The sequence below is a fragment of the Homo sapiens genome, chromosome 12 (genome assembly GCF_000001405.40).
Source record: "Homo sapiens chromosome 12, GRCh38.p14 Primary Assembly".
Classification (NCBI taxonomy): domain Eukaryota; kingdom Metazoa; phylum Chordata; class Mammalia; order Primates; family Hominidae; genus Homo; species Homo sapiens.
In genome coordinates, this window is record NC_000012.12 from 119,250,704 (window position 1) to 119,268,487 (window position 17,784).

Here is a 17,784-nt window from a genome sequence, read left to right on the forward strand (position 1 = left end):
TTTGGGCTTATTATTCAATGTCTTTGAGCCTCAATTTTATCTTCTGTAAAATGGTAATAAAAATCTTAAAAGAATAGATAGATAATAATAGCACAGTTGTCTATTGATAGTTGTTTTTTTTTCTTTTGAGAATTTACTAAGGTAATTATGAAACACTTATTGTGGTTCCTCGGATAGGGCAAGTACTCAATAAACATTAGCTGTTAGTATTAACAGCAATCTGCCCCCTGTATAAAGCTTCTTACTATTTCCAATGTCCTATGGGGAAAAGTTTCCGAGGCATGATCCTCACCTTCAATAGAGCTTACAGTCTACTGAGATAACAGACCAAGATCTCCAAATTTCCAGGCAATCTAATAAGTGGACAAAAGGCTGGTGACCAAATATTCCTCCCCAGTTTCCCAGGATTTCAAATATTATTTTACCCTCTCATCTAACATACCCACCAACACCTTCCTCTCCCTACCCGTACCATGGATCTTAATTCCTTATTTTGGAAAACGTGATCTATCTAATCACCCAGAAAACTATCTACAGTGTTAGACTTCATCATCCATAGGCATTGAGGGTGAAGAGCAGGTTTTGCCCTTGTTGGAAGCCATGGAAAAATGAAATTGCAAGTCTTTGGCAAACATGAAAGGTTTTGCCTTTCTACAATTGGAGAAACTTTGGCAAGCTGAAGGAAGCAGGTGATTTGAGGAACTCTGTTAACTCTTTGGGGACCAACGGCCATTTCTTATCCAGATACTTACAAGTTTCTTTTCTCTCCCAAAACTGACACTGCAGGCAAAAAGGACACAGGGCAGAATTTTCCCATTTGTTTCTGTCTGTATTCAAGCTCCATTGCCCGCCCAGCAATGGTAGCGATCATCTGTCAAGTGTTTACCCTGTGTCAAACCCTGGCCGCATCTGTCCAGTGCTAAAGGGACCTGAGGTTCTAGGGGTCACCCAGGTTGTCACTGGTGAACATGAGATTTGAACCCACTTTGCCTGACCTTGCAACAGTGCCTTCCTGCTATCATTCTACCATTCACACCAATGAGGCGAGGATTAAGTCCCATTTCTGGTCCTGTTCCTTCCTCTTAAGGAGTAGTCTAGAATTCTCTCCAAATAGCCAAAGTGAAATAGGACTTACCTGCTTATGCTTACTTGAGCTTCTTGGCCTGATATCTATTAGTCACTCAATAAATGTTTGTTGAATGACTGCTTGATTGGCTACTACAGATACAGCCACTGTAGATCCAAGATTTTAAATACAAATATTCCAATTTTGAAATTTTTGTTTCACTATCAAATCATTTTGTATTTTAAAAAAGGTGGAAAGGGCCTGGGGTCTTCACATTGTAGAAGAAAAGAGACTACTAGGGGATTTTAATGCAAAAGAGATGGCCTTGGACAAATCACTTAACCTTTCGGAGTTTCCATTGATTCACCAGGAAAATTGGGGTGATAACACCAACCTAAGCTGGTTCCCTTCACACCCTCACACCTGCTTCCTTCAGCGTCACACACACATACACTCACACACGCTCGTGCACACACACTCTCACATACGCACGCACACACTCAGGGCTGTCTCTGGACATTTTTCGTTTTACAGCCTGGGAAGCAGGATAAGGTTTAATATGGAGGAGGAAGAAGATGGCCAGGGGTCTGGTTCCCCAAGGAAACTGAGGTTGGAGTGAGCTCCTATGGCAAGAGGGAGTGAGGATCAGAAGCTGATGGAAATGCTCATGAAAGTCTTTGAGCTGTGTGGGGCACAAGCAGGATAGACTTGGGGCCCAGGTGCAAAGTATGGTCCACAGAAGGAGTAGACTTTCTTCTCACCATGCATGGGCATAGTGCCATCCTGGCAGCCCCAAGACCAGAAGCTTTGAAGCACCAGGAGGTAGCTTCCTGGCATGGACATTGCTGTTATCACAGTGAGCTCAGTGGTGACAGTGTCATCACTCCAAGTGACTTCACTGGTTGAAGACATGGATCCAGAAGAGGAGAACAGGACAGCCGGATGCTGTGAGTGAATGCACCTGCCCTTCAGGCTTCTGGGCATGGGTGAGAGCTGGAGGGAACATGGATGGGGCAGGATGGGAGCTTTCCTTCCTGCATAATCAGGTTGGGACTCAGGCCAACCCACCCTGGATACAGAATCCACTACTTCTCACCAGCCCCACTCTTACTACCTGGTCTGAGCTGCCATCGTCTCTCACCTGGATCCTTGCAGGAGCTTCCTAACATCTCCCTTGCCCCTCACAAACTGTTTTCAACACAGCAGCCACAGAGATTATTAAAACCGAAGTCAGATCACATCACTTCCCTGCTCAAGATTCTACAGTGAATCCACATTCAGAATCAAAGCTGACTCCTTACAATGGCCATAGGCCCACAGGACCCAGCACCCTGGACCTTCTCCATCTCACCTCCAATTACCCTCCTGCCTCTCTGTCCCACCTCCAATTACTCTCCTGCCTCATTCCCTCTGCTGCTGCACACCAGCCTCCTTGTTTCCCCAAACATAGCAGACACGCTCCTGCCCCAGGGCCTTGGCACTAGCTGCTCTCGCTTGCAATTAAACTTTTCTCCAAAACATGCAGATGGCTTACTTTCTGCCTTTTTCAGATCTTCACTCAAATGTTACCTCTTCAGGGAGACTTTTCTTTTTTTCTCCCCCCCTCTTTTGCGGAGAACAGGGTCTTGCCATATTGCGCAAGTTGGTCTTGAACTCCTGGGCTCAAGCTGTCCTCCAGCCTCTGCTTCCCTAAGAGCTGGGATTACAGGCATGAGCCACCACACCCAACCCAGGGAGACTTTTCTTGACCGTATTTCTCAAAGTTGCAACCTCACTCTACCCTGCACTCGCCGTCCCCATTCCGTGCTTTGGTTTCCACATAGCACTCCTCCCCGTCTGATATCCCAGACATAGTGTTAATTTGCTGTTGTCCTACCCACAGCCCACTAGCATGTCAGTTCCATGAAGGCAGGGAACACGGACTCGTGGTCTGTCTCCTTTCCTGCTACATCCCCAGTGCCTAGAATAGTGCCTGCCAGATGTCAGATGTTCCATTCAAAAAATATTTGTCGAATGACTGAATTAATGAATATAGGCAGTGTGACCCTTTCTTATTTATTTATAAATTTATTTATTTATTTATTTATTTATTTAGACAGAGTTTCGCTCTTGCTGCCCAGGCTGGGGTGCAATGGCACAATCTTGGCTCACTGCAACCTCCGCCTCCCTGATTCAAGCGATTCTCCTGCCTCAGCCTCCCGAGTAGCTGGGACTACAGGCATGTGCCACCACGCCCAGATAATTTTTGTTTGTTTTTTTTTTTTTTTTTTTTTTTTTGTGGAGACAGAGTTTCACCATGTTGGCCAGGATGGTCTCAATCTCTTGACCTTGTGATCCACCCTCCTCAGACTCCCAAAGTGCTGGGATTACAGGCATGAGCCACCGCGCCCGGCCCGACCCTTTTTTATTTTGTACTCATTTATTTTTTTTTGAGACAAAGTCTCACTCTGTTGCCCAGGCTGGAGTGCAATGCTGCAATCAGGGCCTCAACCTCTTAGCCTCAAGTGATACTCCCACTTTATCTTCCCAAGTAGCTGGGCCCACAGGCATGCGCCACCACACCTGGCTAATTTTTGTATTTTTTTGTAGAGATGAGGTTTTGCCATGCTGGCCAGGGTGGTCTTAAACTCCTGGGCCCACATGACTGGCCCACCTCAGCCTCCCAAAGTGCTGGGATTACAGGCGTGAGCCACCGAAGCCCGCCACGACCTTTTTTTTCTTAAAGCATCCACAGGTTGATGAGGCCTGACATGCATGTGTCATGCTGCCTCAGAGGGTCACAATGAGCACTAAATGGGCTTTGGTGTATAAAGTATCTGGCACATAGTAGGCACTTTTCTTAGTCTGTTCAGGCTCACAGTTTTGGAGGCTGGAAAGTCCAAATCAGGGCATTGGTAGATTCGGTGTCAGGTGAGGGCCTACTTCTGGTTCATAGATGGACAGCCATCTTCTTGCTGGGTCCTCACATGGCAGAAGGGGGCAAGGGACCTCTCTTGGGCATCTTTTATAAGGGCACTAATCCCATTCATGAAGGTCCTTCTCTCATAACCTAATCACCTCTCAAAAGTTCTGCCTGCTAATAACATCACCTTGGGGGTTAGGATTTCAACATATGGATTTGGGGAGGACACAAATACGTCTTCCACAGCAGAGCTCTATTGGTGGTAGCTGTCATTATGGTTGCTATTGTTGTTGTTGCTTTTGATCTTCTTAGCTCTAAACCTCTCTGTGTCAGAGGCAGGGCACAGTGGTTCACACCTGTAACCCCAGCACTTTGGGAGGCCAAGGCAGGTGGATCACTTGAGGCCAGGAGTTCAAGACCAGCCTGGCCAACATGGTGAAACCCCAGCTCTATCCAAAATACAAAAATTAGCTGGGCATAGTGGTGCACACCTGTAATCCCAGCTACTTGGGAGGCTGAGGCAGGAGAATCACTTGAGCCTGGGAGGCGGATGTTGCAGTGAGCTGAGATCGCACCACTGCACTCCACCCTGGGTGACAGAGCGAGGGTCTGTCTCAAAAATAATAAAAATATAAAATGAAGAAATAAACCTCTCTCTGATCCTCTCTCATTCCTTGCACTTTATTCCCAACCCCACTGACTCCCCACTTTGGCTTTCCCTGGGTCTCCTATCCTCATTCATCAGCTCCTACCGGCTCCTTGATTCTCCTCCCTTCCTGCTGCTCAGGGAAACAATCTAACCCAGCAGTCCCCTGGGACCCCAGCCTGCATCTCCACTGGGTCTCCCTGACTCCCTGGAAGAGCAAATCATCATGAATCACTTCCTCTCCGGACCAAAGACCAAAAGCATCCTTGACAACATGTGCTGGTTCTGGCTCCCGACAGACCTTTTCAGATGGGACAAGCTTCAAATCAATTCCTATTTCTTCCAGGTGAGAGAGACGGCTGTTTGGTGACCCAGGAGGCCCCCATGAGTCTCCTCCAAGAAATCACTTTGATTTCTACTTTTCTGCTTAGATGAGTTGCCAGCTTCTCTGCAAACTCGGATCTTTCTCCAAATAATTCGCAGAAATGACTCTCCCCAAAGGCAAAGACAGGCCCATCCCCTTGTGCTGGCATCCTGCAGCAGAGCAGCATTCAGTAATTAAAGTAAAAATAATAAAGGAATAACGCCAATAATAATAGCTAACCCTTATAAGCACATACTAGGTGCCAGACTCCAGACATATAGTAGCTTATTTGGCTCGCACCACAACCTTTTGCAGTACATAATATTCCCCACTTTGTCGATGAAGAAAATGAGACACAGAAAATTGGAGTAACTTGCCTGAGGTCACCCAGCTAGTGAGTGAAAGAAGCTAAGATTTCAACTCAGGCAGTCTGGCTTCAATTATCTAGAGCTGATACTATGGCTAGGCACTGTGCTGGGTGCTGGGAATATAGGAAGGGACAACAGAAGACATAGCCCCTGCCCTCAAAGACCTTATGGTCTATGGTAGATCAGGGAGAGAGGCATTCATTAAATGCACAAATAAATCTATAGCTACAGGTTGTGATGATGCCAGGAAGGGAAGAGGGTATGAGATTATCTTCGGGCTTCCTCTTAGAATAAGAGGAATTTATTTGGAATTTATCTACAGGAGAACCCAGTGGTAGCTTTTAGACCCTAGAAGCCTGGGCTTAGATAAGCCCAATGGCTACTGTTTCTTGAATATCCACCAGGTACTAAATGGCATGATTTATGCCCAAACTTCTTTCCATCATTACAAAACAGTAATCATTCTTTGTCCCTTCTCACAGATGAAAAACTGAGACTCAGAAAGATTGGGGGACTTACTCGAGGTCTTCTGCCTGAGACACAGACAGCCAGGACTGAATCCAGTTAAGTCCAATTCTTTCTACCATATTCAAGATCAGATTTCTCATCCTCAACATTTACTGGCATTGTAGGCCAGATAACTCTTCGTAGCGAGTGGTGGGACTGTCCTGGACACTGCAGGATGCTGAGAAGCATCCCTGACTGATATGGTTTGGCTGTGTCCCCACCCAAATCTCATCTTGAATTGTGGCTCCCATAATTCCCACGTGTTGTGGGAGGGACCCAGTGGGAGGTAATTGAATCATAGGGACGGCCTGTCTTTCCTGTGCTGTTCTTGTGATAATCTCACAAGATCTGATGGTTTTACAAAGGGCAGTTCCCCTGCACATGCTCTCTTGTCTGCCACCATGTAAGACGTGTCTTGCTTCCTCTTCGCCATCTACCATGATTGTGAGGCTTCCCCAGCCATGTGGAACTGTGAGTTAATTAAACTTATTCCCTTTATAAATTACCCAGTCCCAGGTATGTCTTTATTAGCAGTGTGAGAACAGACTAATTCACTGACCTCCACCCACTAAATGCCAGCAGCACCTACTCCTCTTGTGACAACCAAACATGTCTCCAGACATTGCCTAGTGTCCCCTTAGGGGTAAAAGGAAATCACTCCTATTTGAAAACCACTGTTGTAGATGCCAGCTCGCCTCCAGACTGTTTCTTATCTATCTTTGTGTACCTGGTACCCAGCATTGTAGCACAACTAAAGTTTATTTAATAATAGAATGGAAGAAAGGAGGAAAGAAAAGAAAAGATACAGGAAAAGAAAGAAAAGGAGGGAGAAGGGGAGGGAAGAAGGCCTAAGTTCACCCGGTATGTATATTATGGAAAGCTTATAGATAAATCAACCTAAATGGATGTTGTAACCCAAATTCTATTTGAACTACCCGGGGTGGAAATCAGGGCTTCAGGGAATCGTGTGATAAATTCGTACGTTAAATGAGCAGTCTTTCTGATATGAACACATACATCTGCACATCTGCATGCACACACACAAATGAAAATGTCCTGTGGGCCTGGGCGCCATGGCTCATGCCTGTCATCCCAGCACTTTGGGAGGCCAAGGTAGGTAGATCACTTGAGACCAGGAGTTCAAGACCAGCCTGGCCAACATGGTGAAACCTTGTCTATACTAAAAATACAAAAATTAGCCAGGCATGGTGGTGCGCACCTGTAATCCCAGCTACTCAGGAGGCTGAGGCAGAATCACTTGAGCACAGGAAGCAGAGGTTACAGTGAGCCAAGATCGAGCCACTATACTCCAGCCTGGGCAACAGAGCAAGACTCTGTGAAAAAAAAAAAAAAAAAAAAAACCGAAAACAAAAATGCCTTGTGGGTTTGGCATTTCCACATTAAATTTACATCAAGACCACTCCCCAAAGTGGGGTGAACCAAGCCATCCTTGTTCCCTCCCAGCGGGGAATTCAATTACCCATTTGAAACAACACCCCAGAGGTCCTTCCAAGCTTCTTCATGAAACAATATTTATCAGCAATTGTTATTATTACCAAGAGGACCCCTGCTGGCCTGGGATCTGCTCCTCTGCCACCCAAGAGTTCTCCCATTTCCAGCTCTTCTTGATGTGGTCAATAATACCACAATCTCTTCAGCTCAGAATTTCCCCCGGACTGGAAGACGGCTTTCCTGTGTGTACATTTCAATCAACAGAAGCACCGGCATTTCCAAAGCAGATGTTTCCTGTCACTACTTACTGTGTCCTGAGCAGATGGCCCTGTTAAAGCTGTATTGTTGGACAAGCCTTTCAATCAAGGCTTTCATTCCTGGATATGAGTGACGGGCGACAGGAAAGGGAGTTCTGCTGTCAAATCCAGGCAGCAGAGAATGATGCAACCTACTGTCTTCCCCATGCTTCCACATGCGACCGAGGTGTGTTCTTCTTGCATGGGGCAACTGGTTAGCTTAGCAGTATGGCAGGTGAGAATCACAGACATGGACTGAAATCCCACCTGCAACATTTGCCACTTGAGTGATTTTTGGAGGAGCGACTGTAGTTTTCTGAGTCAGTGTCCTCATTCATAAAATAGAGATACTCATATTACCTACCTCATGGGGTGGCTGGGAAAAATAATTAAATCACCCGAAGCACATAAAATCCTTTTAGCACAAGGCTTCACACCTGGTAAGTTCTCAATAAATGATTGCTCTTGTTTTGACAACAATCGCACATCAAGGGCACAATCTGGTTGCCCCAGGAGATCCAGACTTGAAATGAATAAAATCCTCATAAAGCTTCAGTCTAGCTGGGGAGCTAGACCTCAGCACAGGCGATACTGTCCTGACACTGTCTCTCCCCAGCTGTGCAACTTGGGATGTGGAATCTCACCTCTCAGAGGCTCTCATCACCTCGGAAACAGTGGGGCAATTCCTGGCTTAAATTGTTGGAAGAACTTTGGTACACGGCCCATAGCTCAGAGGAACTCAGGACATGGTAGCTAGAGGTACTGTTGGCCAGTTCCAGGCATCGTGGTAGGAGATGATTCTTATTAAAGTGAATTGGAATCTTGGGGAAAGCAGCATGATTGGGGAGGTCATCGTCATGGTGATTTGATTTGTGATGTGAGGAATGGACTTGCCTACTTTAAATCTCAACTTGACTTGGAAGGGTGTGGATCTGTGAAAAAATAACTGAGACTTGCTTCTGTCAAGCTACTTCCTGTGACAACATTAGAGGAATTTCTTTCTTTCTTTCTTTCTTTCTTTTTTTTTTTTTTTTTTTTTTTTGAGACAGGTTTTCACTCCCACAGCCCAGGCAGGCTGCAGTGGGCGCAATCTCAGCTCACTGCAACCTCTGCCTCCCAAACTCAAGTGATTCTCCCACGTCAGCCTCCCAAGTAGCTGGGACTACAGGCACACACCACTGCACCTGGCTAATTTTTGTAGAGACAGGATTTTGTCATGTTGGCCAGGGTGGTCCTGAACTCTTGAGCTCAAGGGATCTGCCCACCTTGGCCTCCCAAAGTGCTGGGATTACAAGTGTGAGCCACGATGCCCGGCCTTGGAGGGAATTTCTATGCATGAAGGACAATGTCAACAAGTCTCACTTCCTCTATTATCTGGAGTTTGGGCTCTGTGTCTTCAGCAGGCGTGGACAGGAATTTCCTGGCTCAGAATGATACCAGGGGTTTTCCGGTGCTTTTCTAAGAACAGAGATGGTAGATAAGTATGAGGATGGTGGGAAAATCCTTCAGTTTTCTAAGGAAGGCTCATGTTTATGGTAGAAGATTTGAGACAAAAATTTTCTATTTTCATCCCACCAGTCATAATTTGTGTGACTTTGACATGTCTCTTAACCTTTCTGAACCACCGTGTGATGGAATACTGGGTTGTTCCCCCAGATCATATCCCCCCTTCCTACCACGCACTTAACGTTTTCCGTAGGAAACTACATTAATTAAGGATTTGATGTAGGTTCCATAGGTAACTACTCACCATCTTCAGCTCTGTTGTTTTCACCGAGATTGATCTCACCCCCAGCTCTAGAGTAGGTCTGGATTGGCTTAAGCCAATAAGTGCCTACTATCCCTTGTTCACTGTAGTTTGGTTGAAGGATGGGCATCTGACCTAGTTCACACTAATGTGACATGTGAAAAGGTTTTCTGAGGTTTCTGGGACAGACAAGTGCTCCATCTTCCAAAAGACCTACCAGAAGCATCTGTCTGCTTTTTGTGCAGTGTGATGTGAGGCTATGAGAATAGGAGGCCAGAAATATTGTACTATGGAAGAGTCAACCTGAAGAGGAAGCCAACAAGGCAGCTGAAAGAATCATCCAGGAACAAAGCCAGAGCCTTAATGGTAGCATGAACTCCTCGATCAAACCATTCCTGAATCAGAATATTACAGGGCAATTCAGTTATGTGAGCCAACAATCTTCTCATTGACCCCTCTCCCCATTTCTTTTTTCCTTAGTATTTTAAGTTGGATTTTTCTGTTGCTTGCAACCAAAATATTCCTAACTAGTACACTGTTTTCTCTGTCCTCTCCGAACTTCTGGAAGAATAAAATAAGATAATAAGGTATGTGAAAATAATACTGTTTTGCCTTGGGCAGGCCTATGCAAACCTACCCCAAAGTCTGAGGAAGCTGAGAAGCTGAAGAAAGAGGCTGACAAATCCAGTTTCTTAGGAAGAAATATTTAATAGGGGCTTAGGAACAGAAACCATGCCTGTGTCTTGGGTGGTGGAAAGACAAGATGGTGGATCCCTGCGGCACCAATAGCCTCCAGACCCAGAGATTATATACTCTAGGGGAGAGGCATACATGTTTCACAGAGAATAGGTAGGAAATTGCCCTGAGGGCAGGATTTGCAGGAAGTACAGTCCTCTTACACGACGAACAACAGATAAACTGGAAATCTCAGAGGCTTTCCCAAAACGGGTTAATCAGAAGCTAACATGGCAGATTAGCATCCAAGATGGAGTTGATTCAACCTTCACAGATATGTAAACTGTAAATCACAGTACCAATTAGATGTGAGGATTATCAGAACAATTATTATCACCACCTCAAAGACTTCCTAGCTCAGAATAATCCAATTTACAGATGTGTAATATTTCCTTCCATTCCTCTGAAATGTACCAGTTTCATTATGTTGAAACTATTAGATCATGCACTGATAATGGTGCTTAATGAAGCTAACAGTATTATTCTCCTGTAAACAGAAATGTATATAATTAATAACTCTCTTAAGGCTTTTGGTATTCACTGGTACTAATTACATTCCAGTGCTCATCAGTGTGAGTCCAACCAGAGTAGGCTGAGTGAAAACAGACACTCAGTCCTCGAGAGAAATATGAGGTCTCAGCATCTGCCTTGACTGTCAGTTGGCCGCACTTTTGTGGAGAAGAGAGCACTAGTCTGTGTTCCAGCTCTGCCACTGAGTCTCTTTGTGACCTTGGACACGTCACTTAACTGCTGTGTGCCTCAGTTTCCCCATCTATAAAATGAGGAGGATAGACTTGCCAGATTCTTAATTTTTGTTGAATGCCTATGAGAATCTGCTGAAAACTCTGCATCTTCTCCAGAGAGGTCCATTTCTCTATATAATCTATATCTACAGATATAGATATATATTTCTGGGACAGAGTCTCGCTCTGTGGACCAGGCTAGAGTGCAGTGCCACAATCTCAGCTCACTGCAATCTCCGCCTCCTGGGTTCAAGCGATTCTCCTGCCTCAGCTTCCTGAGGACCTGGGATTACAGGCACCCACCACCACTCCCAGCTAATTTTTGCATTTTTAGTAGAGACGGGATTTCGCCATATTGGCCAGGCTGGTCTCGAACTCTTGACTTCAAGCGATCCTCCCACCTCAGCCTCTCAAAGTGCTAGGCTTACATGTGTGAGCCACTGTGCACAGCCTTCCGTATTTTATATATTGAATAATTTATATACAATCACAAGAGGCCCATGGAAAACTCCATTTGCTTTTTTTTTTAATCAAGCCAAACCAACAAGTAAGAAATTCAAAATTAAATGAACTTTAAGGGCCCTGTAAGCTCTACATTTTCAGTGCCCATAATTCCACGATTCCCCTAGAAGTAGCAGAGTCATAATTGAGTTCTAGAATGTCTTTTTACCTAAAAGGTAGAAATTCTTTGAGCATGGGCATTGGTGGGGAGGGGCTTGAAAGCTGAGGGACAGTAAGGAGGTTGTTACAATCACCCCAGCAAAAGATGATGTGACTCAGACAAGAATAAAAGAAGGAGATGTACTGAAGAGATAGCCAGAATGCAGAACTTTGTATAAGAGTAGATTTAGGGGAGAATTTCCAGAATCCTATCACTTAGGATTCGTTTCATCTGTGAGGAACAATAAATCCAATTATAATGACTTAAACAGCAAGAAGAATTTGTTTTTCCTCAGGTGAAAGTCATCTGACGGTAGATAGTCCAAGCCTGTTTAGAAGCTCTTCAATACTTGGTTCTATCTATTAACTACTCTGCCACATTTGTTCTATCCTCAGGGTCCAAGGTGGCTGCAGGAGTTCCAGCCATCACACCTATGTTTCAGGGTATAAGAAAGAGAATAAGTGGAAGTGCAAAATGGAGCTCCTTTAAAGAGCTTTCCTGGAAGCAAAGCTTCCACTTACATCTCATCAGCTAGAACTCAGTCACTTCCAGCTGTGGGACAGTCTGGGAAATGTAGAAACATAGTGTTTTGCTAGGCATATTGCCCAAGATTCTATTACTAAGAAGAAGGAAGACGCAACTAGCAGTTTCTGCTACAGTTTCCATTTAAAATAAATACAGTGTGGAGAGGACAGTGGAGGAGAGTCAGGATTGGGGAGGAAGATCAAGAGTTCAGTTTGATACATGCTGGGTTTGAGTGCTTAGGAAACATTCGTGAGAGTTGTCCTATAGACAGTTGAATAAACATGTATGAAACTTGAAATAAAGGTGTGAGCCAGAGCTAAAGATGTGAGAGCCACCAAGATACAAAGGACACATGGAACCCTGGAACTTTTCTTCACAAGAATGATCTCAAAACACAAACCTGATGATCTCAAGCCTCTTTGCCATTTTTAAAATAGTTCAAGGTGTTCTTACAGCTCTCAAGATAAAGATGAAAATCCCTAACGTGAACTACACTGATTTTCATTATTTTGACCCCAGATTACCCGTTTCATCTAAACTCACTATCACCTTTGCCCATCTCACTTCAAGGCCTTTGCAGGTGCTGGCCAATCTTCCCTCTCCATCTCCACCTCCAGCTCTGCATTCTGCAATATGATCTCTGTTGGCCTTTAAAAGCTTTAGAATGTTGGAAAATTGGAATCTTCACCCCAGTTTTATAGATGGGCATGACATCAGCTCAAAGAGTAAAGGCATTTCTCTAAGGTTACACAACTATAGTAAGAGGCAGAGTAGAAATCAAAGCCAACGTCTTCTAGCAACTGGTACCTTCTCTCCACTCAGCACAGCAGGCTGCTACTTTTGGGTGGCTCTCCATGCCCTCACAAGAAAGGATAGACAAGAAGAGAGAGGGAACAAAAAAAACCCAGACGCTCAGAGCTGACTCCACGGAAGGGCTTATTCAATCAGTCTAGACAAAAGCCTGCCCCATTACTCCTTTCTTTCCTCCCTCCCACCTTTTCTCCCCACTTCCCAGAGGAACTTGATTAATCCATTAGGTTTCACCTCTATTTAACTTCCTGATTAGTTACATTTATAAACTCCATTTGTTTTTGCTTTCTCATCAAGCCAAACCAACACCCCCAGGGAAAAAAAAAAAAAGGCCAATTTTCAGTGACACTGATTTACTGCAATTTCTGAAAATCAGACCGAACCGAGGAGAAACATGACTAGAATTTCAACTCCCCCTTTTCACATTGCAGGTATCTTTGCGAACGGAAAAGAAGCTTTAACAGAAAGAGAGAAAACTCAGTGATGGCAGGATCCCAAATTTGGCCAAAGTGGCAAAATACCAAGCCTGTTAATGAAGCAGATTAATAAATTCTGTAATTTCCATCTCCTAGTTGAGTAACAAAGCTACAAAGTACAACAAAAAAGTAAAAGCTGAAGCTAAGGGATCATATGTTTTTATCGGCAAAGTGAAATACTCAAGATATTTCCTTGCTTCCATTTTCTCCCTGTAGTCTGTGATGTAGGATATTTAAACTTTTAAATAATTTTATTTTAACAAGACTAATACATGTGCATAGTAGGAAGCTATGTACATGTATTTTTTTTCTGGGGGTGTTGGTTTGGCTTGATGAGAAAGCAAAAACAAATGGAGTTTATAAATGTAACTAATCAGGAAGTTAAAGAGAGGTGAAACCTAATGGATTAATCAAGTTCCTCTGGGAAGTGGGGAGAAAAGGTAGGAGGGAGGGAAGAAAGGAGTAATGGGGCAGGCTTTTGTCTAGACTGATTGCAATTTTGTTATAAAACTTATAACAGCCTGGGTGCGGTGGCTCACGCCTGTAATCTCAGTGCTTTGGGAGGCCGAGGTGGGCAGAACATGAGGTCAAGAGATCGAGACCATCCTGGCCAATATGGTGAAACCCCGTCTCTACTGAAAATACAAAAATTAGCTGGATGTGGTGGTGCACGCCTGTAGTCCCAGCTACTCAGGAGGCTGAGGCAGGAGAATCGCTTGAACCTGGGAGGCGGAGGTTGCAGTGAGCTGAGATTGCGCCACTGCACTCCAGCCTGGTGACCGAGCATGACTCCATCTCAAAGAAAAAAAAAAGTATAACAAAATTTCAGCAATCTCATGTATGTCCATATGCAACATCAGCCCCTAATCTTGCTCCACAGAGGCAACCACATTCAGTATTTTAGGCTGCCTTTTCTGGTATTCATTTCCACATTTTAAGTAACACACTGATACTACTATTTATTGAGTTATCAACTGTAAGCATCATCTATTATATTTTCTATTTTTCTATGGAAGAAAAATTTTAATTATTTTACATCATGACCCCTCACTCACATAATCTAACTCTCTCTCTCTTTCTCTCCCCCACCCCAAATTCTTCCTCATAATATCTCAATTTTTGTTTAAACTAATAAATAGTGTTATTATAAGAATCAAGTAAATAATGTTAATTCCTTAGGTAAGTATTGTACTATGATTACATGTCTTTTCTTGTCTTTTGTTTGTTTGTTTTTTCTAGTGATAATAATTGCCTCAAAACCACAACGAGATACCATCTCATGCCAGTCAGAATGGCTAGCATCAAAAACTAAAAAAATAACAGATGTTGATGAGGTTGCAGAGAAAAGAGAAGGCTTATACCTGTTGGTGAGAATGCAAATTAGTTCGACCACTGTGGAAAGCAGTTGGAGAGTTCTCAAAGGGCTAAAAATAGAATTACCATTCAACCCAGCAATCCCATTACTGAGTATATACCCAAAGGAAAATAAACTATTCTACCAAAAAGACACTTGTACCCACATGTTTATCATGGCACTATTCACAATAGCAAAGACATGGAATCAATCCAGGTGCCCATCAATGATAGATTGAATAAAGAAAATGTGGCACACATACACCATGGAATACTATGCAGCCATAAAAAAAAGAATGAAATCATGTCGTTTGCAGCAGTATGGGTACAGCTGGAGGCCATTGTCCTAAGCAAATTCACAGAAGAACAGAAAACTAGATGCCACAAGTTCTCACTTAAAAATGGGAGCTACGCATTGGGTACACACAGACATAAAGGTGGGAACAATAAACCCTGGGGATGCCAAAAGTGGGGAGGCAGAGAGGGAGGCAAGGGCCAAAAATACTACCTACTGGGCACTATGTTCACTATGTGGATGCTGGGATCATTAGAAGCCCAAACTTTAGCATTGCATTATATACTCATGTAACAAACCTGCACATGTACTCCCTGAATCTAAAACAATAATAATAATTTCCTCTTGCTTTTATTTACTATGTACTTATTATTAGTTACTCCTAAAATCTACAATGCAAAAATCTCAATACTATTTTTCCACCTGCTCAAAAGCATCATAAAATCTACCAGCTCCTACTTTCCTCCCTCCCTTCTTGCCATCCTTCCTTCCTTTCTCTTCACCCTGCCCCATCCCCTTCTCTCTTCCTCCCTTTCTCACATCCTCCCTACCTCTTTGTCTTTCTTTCCTCATTCTTCTTCTTTCCTTTTCTTTTTTCCTTTCTCCTCCTCTTCCTCCTTCTCCTCAGTGTCCCTTGTTCCTCTTGCTCTCCTTCTCTTTTCCTGGACTCTCCATTCTCCTGCTTCAAAATGAATTGGTTTCATTTAAGGCCTGAAGCATGACTATTGTCTTCGGATTTTCCTTTGTAATTGTCCTGAGGCTTTCACTTCTCTCCTGGATCTCCTATCCAAATATCCTGTCACTTTTTTGGATTTCCCACTTGTTTTCCTGGAACACTTCCTTTAGCAACATTTTGAGAAAGGTACTTAGGAAATATTGGATACTTTGCAGATCTTAAAATATCCTTCTTCCATCCTTGAACTCAACAGACAGTTTCCCTAGATATATAATTGAACATTGAAAATAACATTTACTATGAATACTGAAAGCATTGATGCATTTACTTCAATCTTTGAATATTACTGATGCCAGTAAAATTTTTATTCTCACATACCAAGGTGATATGGTTTGGCTTTGTGTCCCCACCCAAGTCTCATGTTGAATTATAATCACCAATATTGGGGGCAGGACCTGATGGGAAGTGATCATGGGGGCAGATTTCCCCCTTGCTGTTCTCATGATAGTGAGTTCTCATGAGATCTGGTTGTTTTGAAAGTGTGTAGCTCTTCCCCCCTTCACTTCCCCTCTCTCCTGCTGGCCATGTGCTTGCTGCTTCTAATAGCATATGCTCATATGTGTTCACAAAGAGATGGTCTGAAATTGGAACTTATATTTAAATGGGAAGAAGAACATAAAAGTTTGGCAAATTTGCAGCCTGACCATGTGGTGGAAAAGAAAAAACCATTTTCTGGGGAGGAGTTCAAGGCTGCATAAATTTGCATAAGTAAAGAGAAGCCAAATGTTAATAGCCAAGACAATGGGGAAAATGCCAACAAGGCCTTTCAGAAACCTACATGGCAGCCCCTCCCGTCACAGGCCTGGAGGCCTAGGAAGGAAAAATAGTTTTGTGGGCTGGGCTCAGGGCCCCTCTGCTCTGTGCCACCTCAGGTCAGGATGCTCTGCATCCCAGCTGCTCCAGCTCCAGCTGTGGCTAAAAGGAGCCAAGGTACAGCTCAGGCCATTGCTTCAGAGGGTGCAAGCCCCAAGTCTTGGCAGCTTTCATGTGGTGTTGGGCCTGCAGGTGCACAGAAGGCAAGAGTTGAGGCTTGGGAGACTGCCTAGATTTCAGAGGATGTATAGAAATGCCTGGATGTTCAGGCAGAAGTCTGCTGCAGGGGCAGAGCCTTCATGGAGAACATCTACTAGGGCAGTGCAGTGGGGAAATGTGGGGTTGGAGCACCCACACAGAGTCCTTACTGGGGTACTGTCTAGTGGAGCTGTGGAAAGAGGGTCACCATCCTTCAGACCCCGGAATGGTAGATTCACCAACAGCTTGCACTGTGTACCTGTTAAAACCACAGGTACTCAATGCCAGCCCATGAAAGCAGCCATGGGGGTTGCACCCTGCAGAGCCACAGGGCAGAGCTGCCCAGGGCCTTGGGAGTCCACCCCTTGCATCAGCATGCCCTGGATGTGAGACACAAAGTCAAAGGAGATGATTTCAGAGCCTTAAGGCTTAATGACAGCCCTGCTGTTTTTTGGACTTGCATGGGGCCTGTAGCTGCTTGGTTTTGGCCAACTACTCCCTTTGGAACAGGAGTATTCACTCAATCCCTGTACCTCTATTGTATCTTGAAAGTAACTAACTTGTTTTTGATTTTATAGGCTCATAGGTAGAAGGGACTTGCCTTGTCTCAGATGAGACTTTGGACTAGGACATTTGACCTAATGCTGAAATGAGTTAAGACTTCAGGGGACTGTTGGGAAAGCAGGACTGTGTTTTAAAATATGAGAAGGGCAGGAGATTGATTTGGGAGGGGCCAGGGGTGGAATGATATGATTTGGCTCTGTCTTCCCACCCAAATCTCATGTTGAATTGTAATCCCCAATGTTGGGGGAAGGACCTGGTGGGAGGTGATTGGATCATGTGGGCAGATTTCCCCCTTGCTGTTCTCACAATAGTGAATGAGTTATCATGAGATCTGGTTGTTTTGAAAGTGTGTAGCACTTCTCCCCTTCACTTTCTCTCTCTCCTGCTGGCCATGTGAACATGTGCTTGCTTCCCCTTTGCCCGTTTGCCATGATTGTAAGTTCCTGAGGCCTCTCCAATCACGCTTCCTGTACAGCCTGTGGAACTGTGAGTCAATTAAACCTCTTTTCTTCACAAATTACCCAGTC

At 44.2% G+C, this 17,784-nt stretch overlaps 1 long non-coding RNA gene across 1 annotated transcript; it reads right to left on the bottom strand.

Annotated features, from left to right (window-relative positions):
• Positions 1 to 10,036: 10,036 nt before the first annotated feature.
• On the bottom strand, positions 10,037 to 15,539 carry LOC124903032 (uncharacterized). The gene is made up of 2 exons (XR_007063483.1): positions 15,498 to 15,539; positions 10,037 to 10,366 (listed from the first exon to the last, which is right to left on the bottom strand). It is a non-coding gene; the product is annotated as an uncharacterized LOC124903032 (long non-coding RNA).
• Positions 15,540 to 17,784: the final 2,245 nt, after the last annotated feature.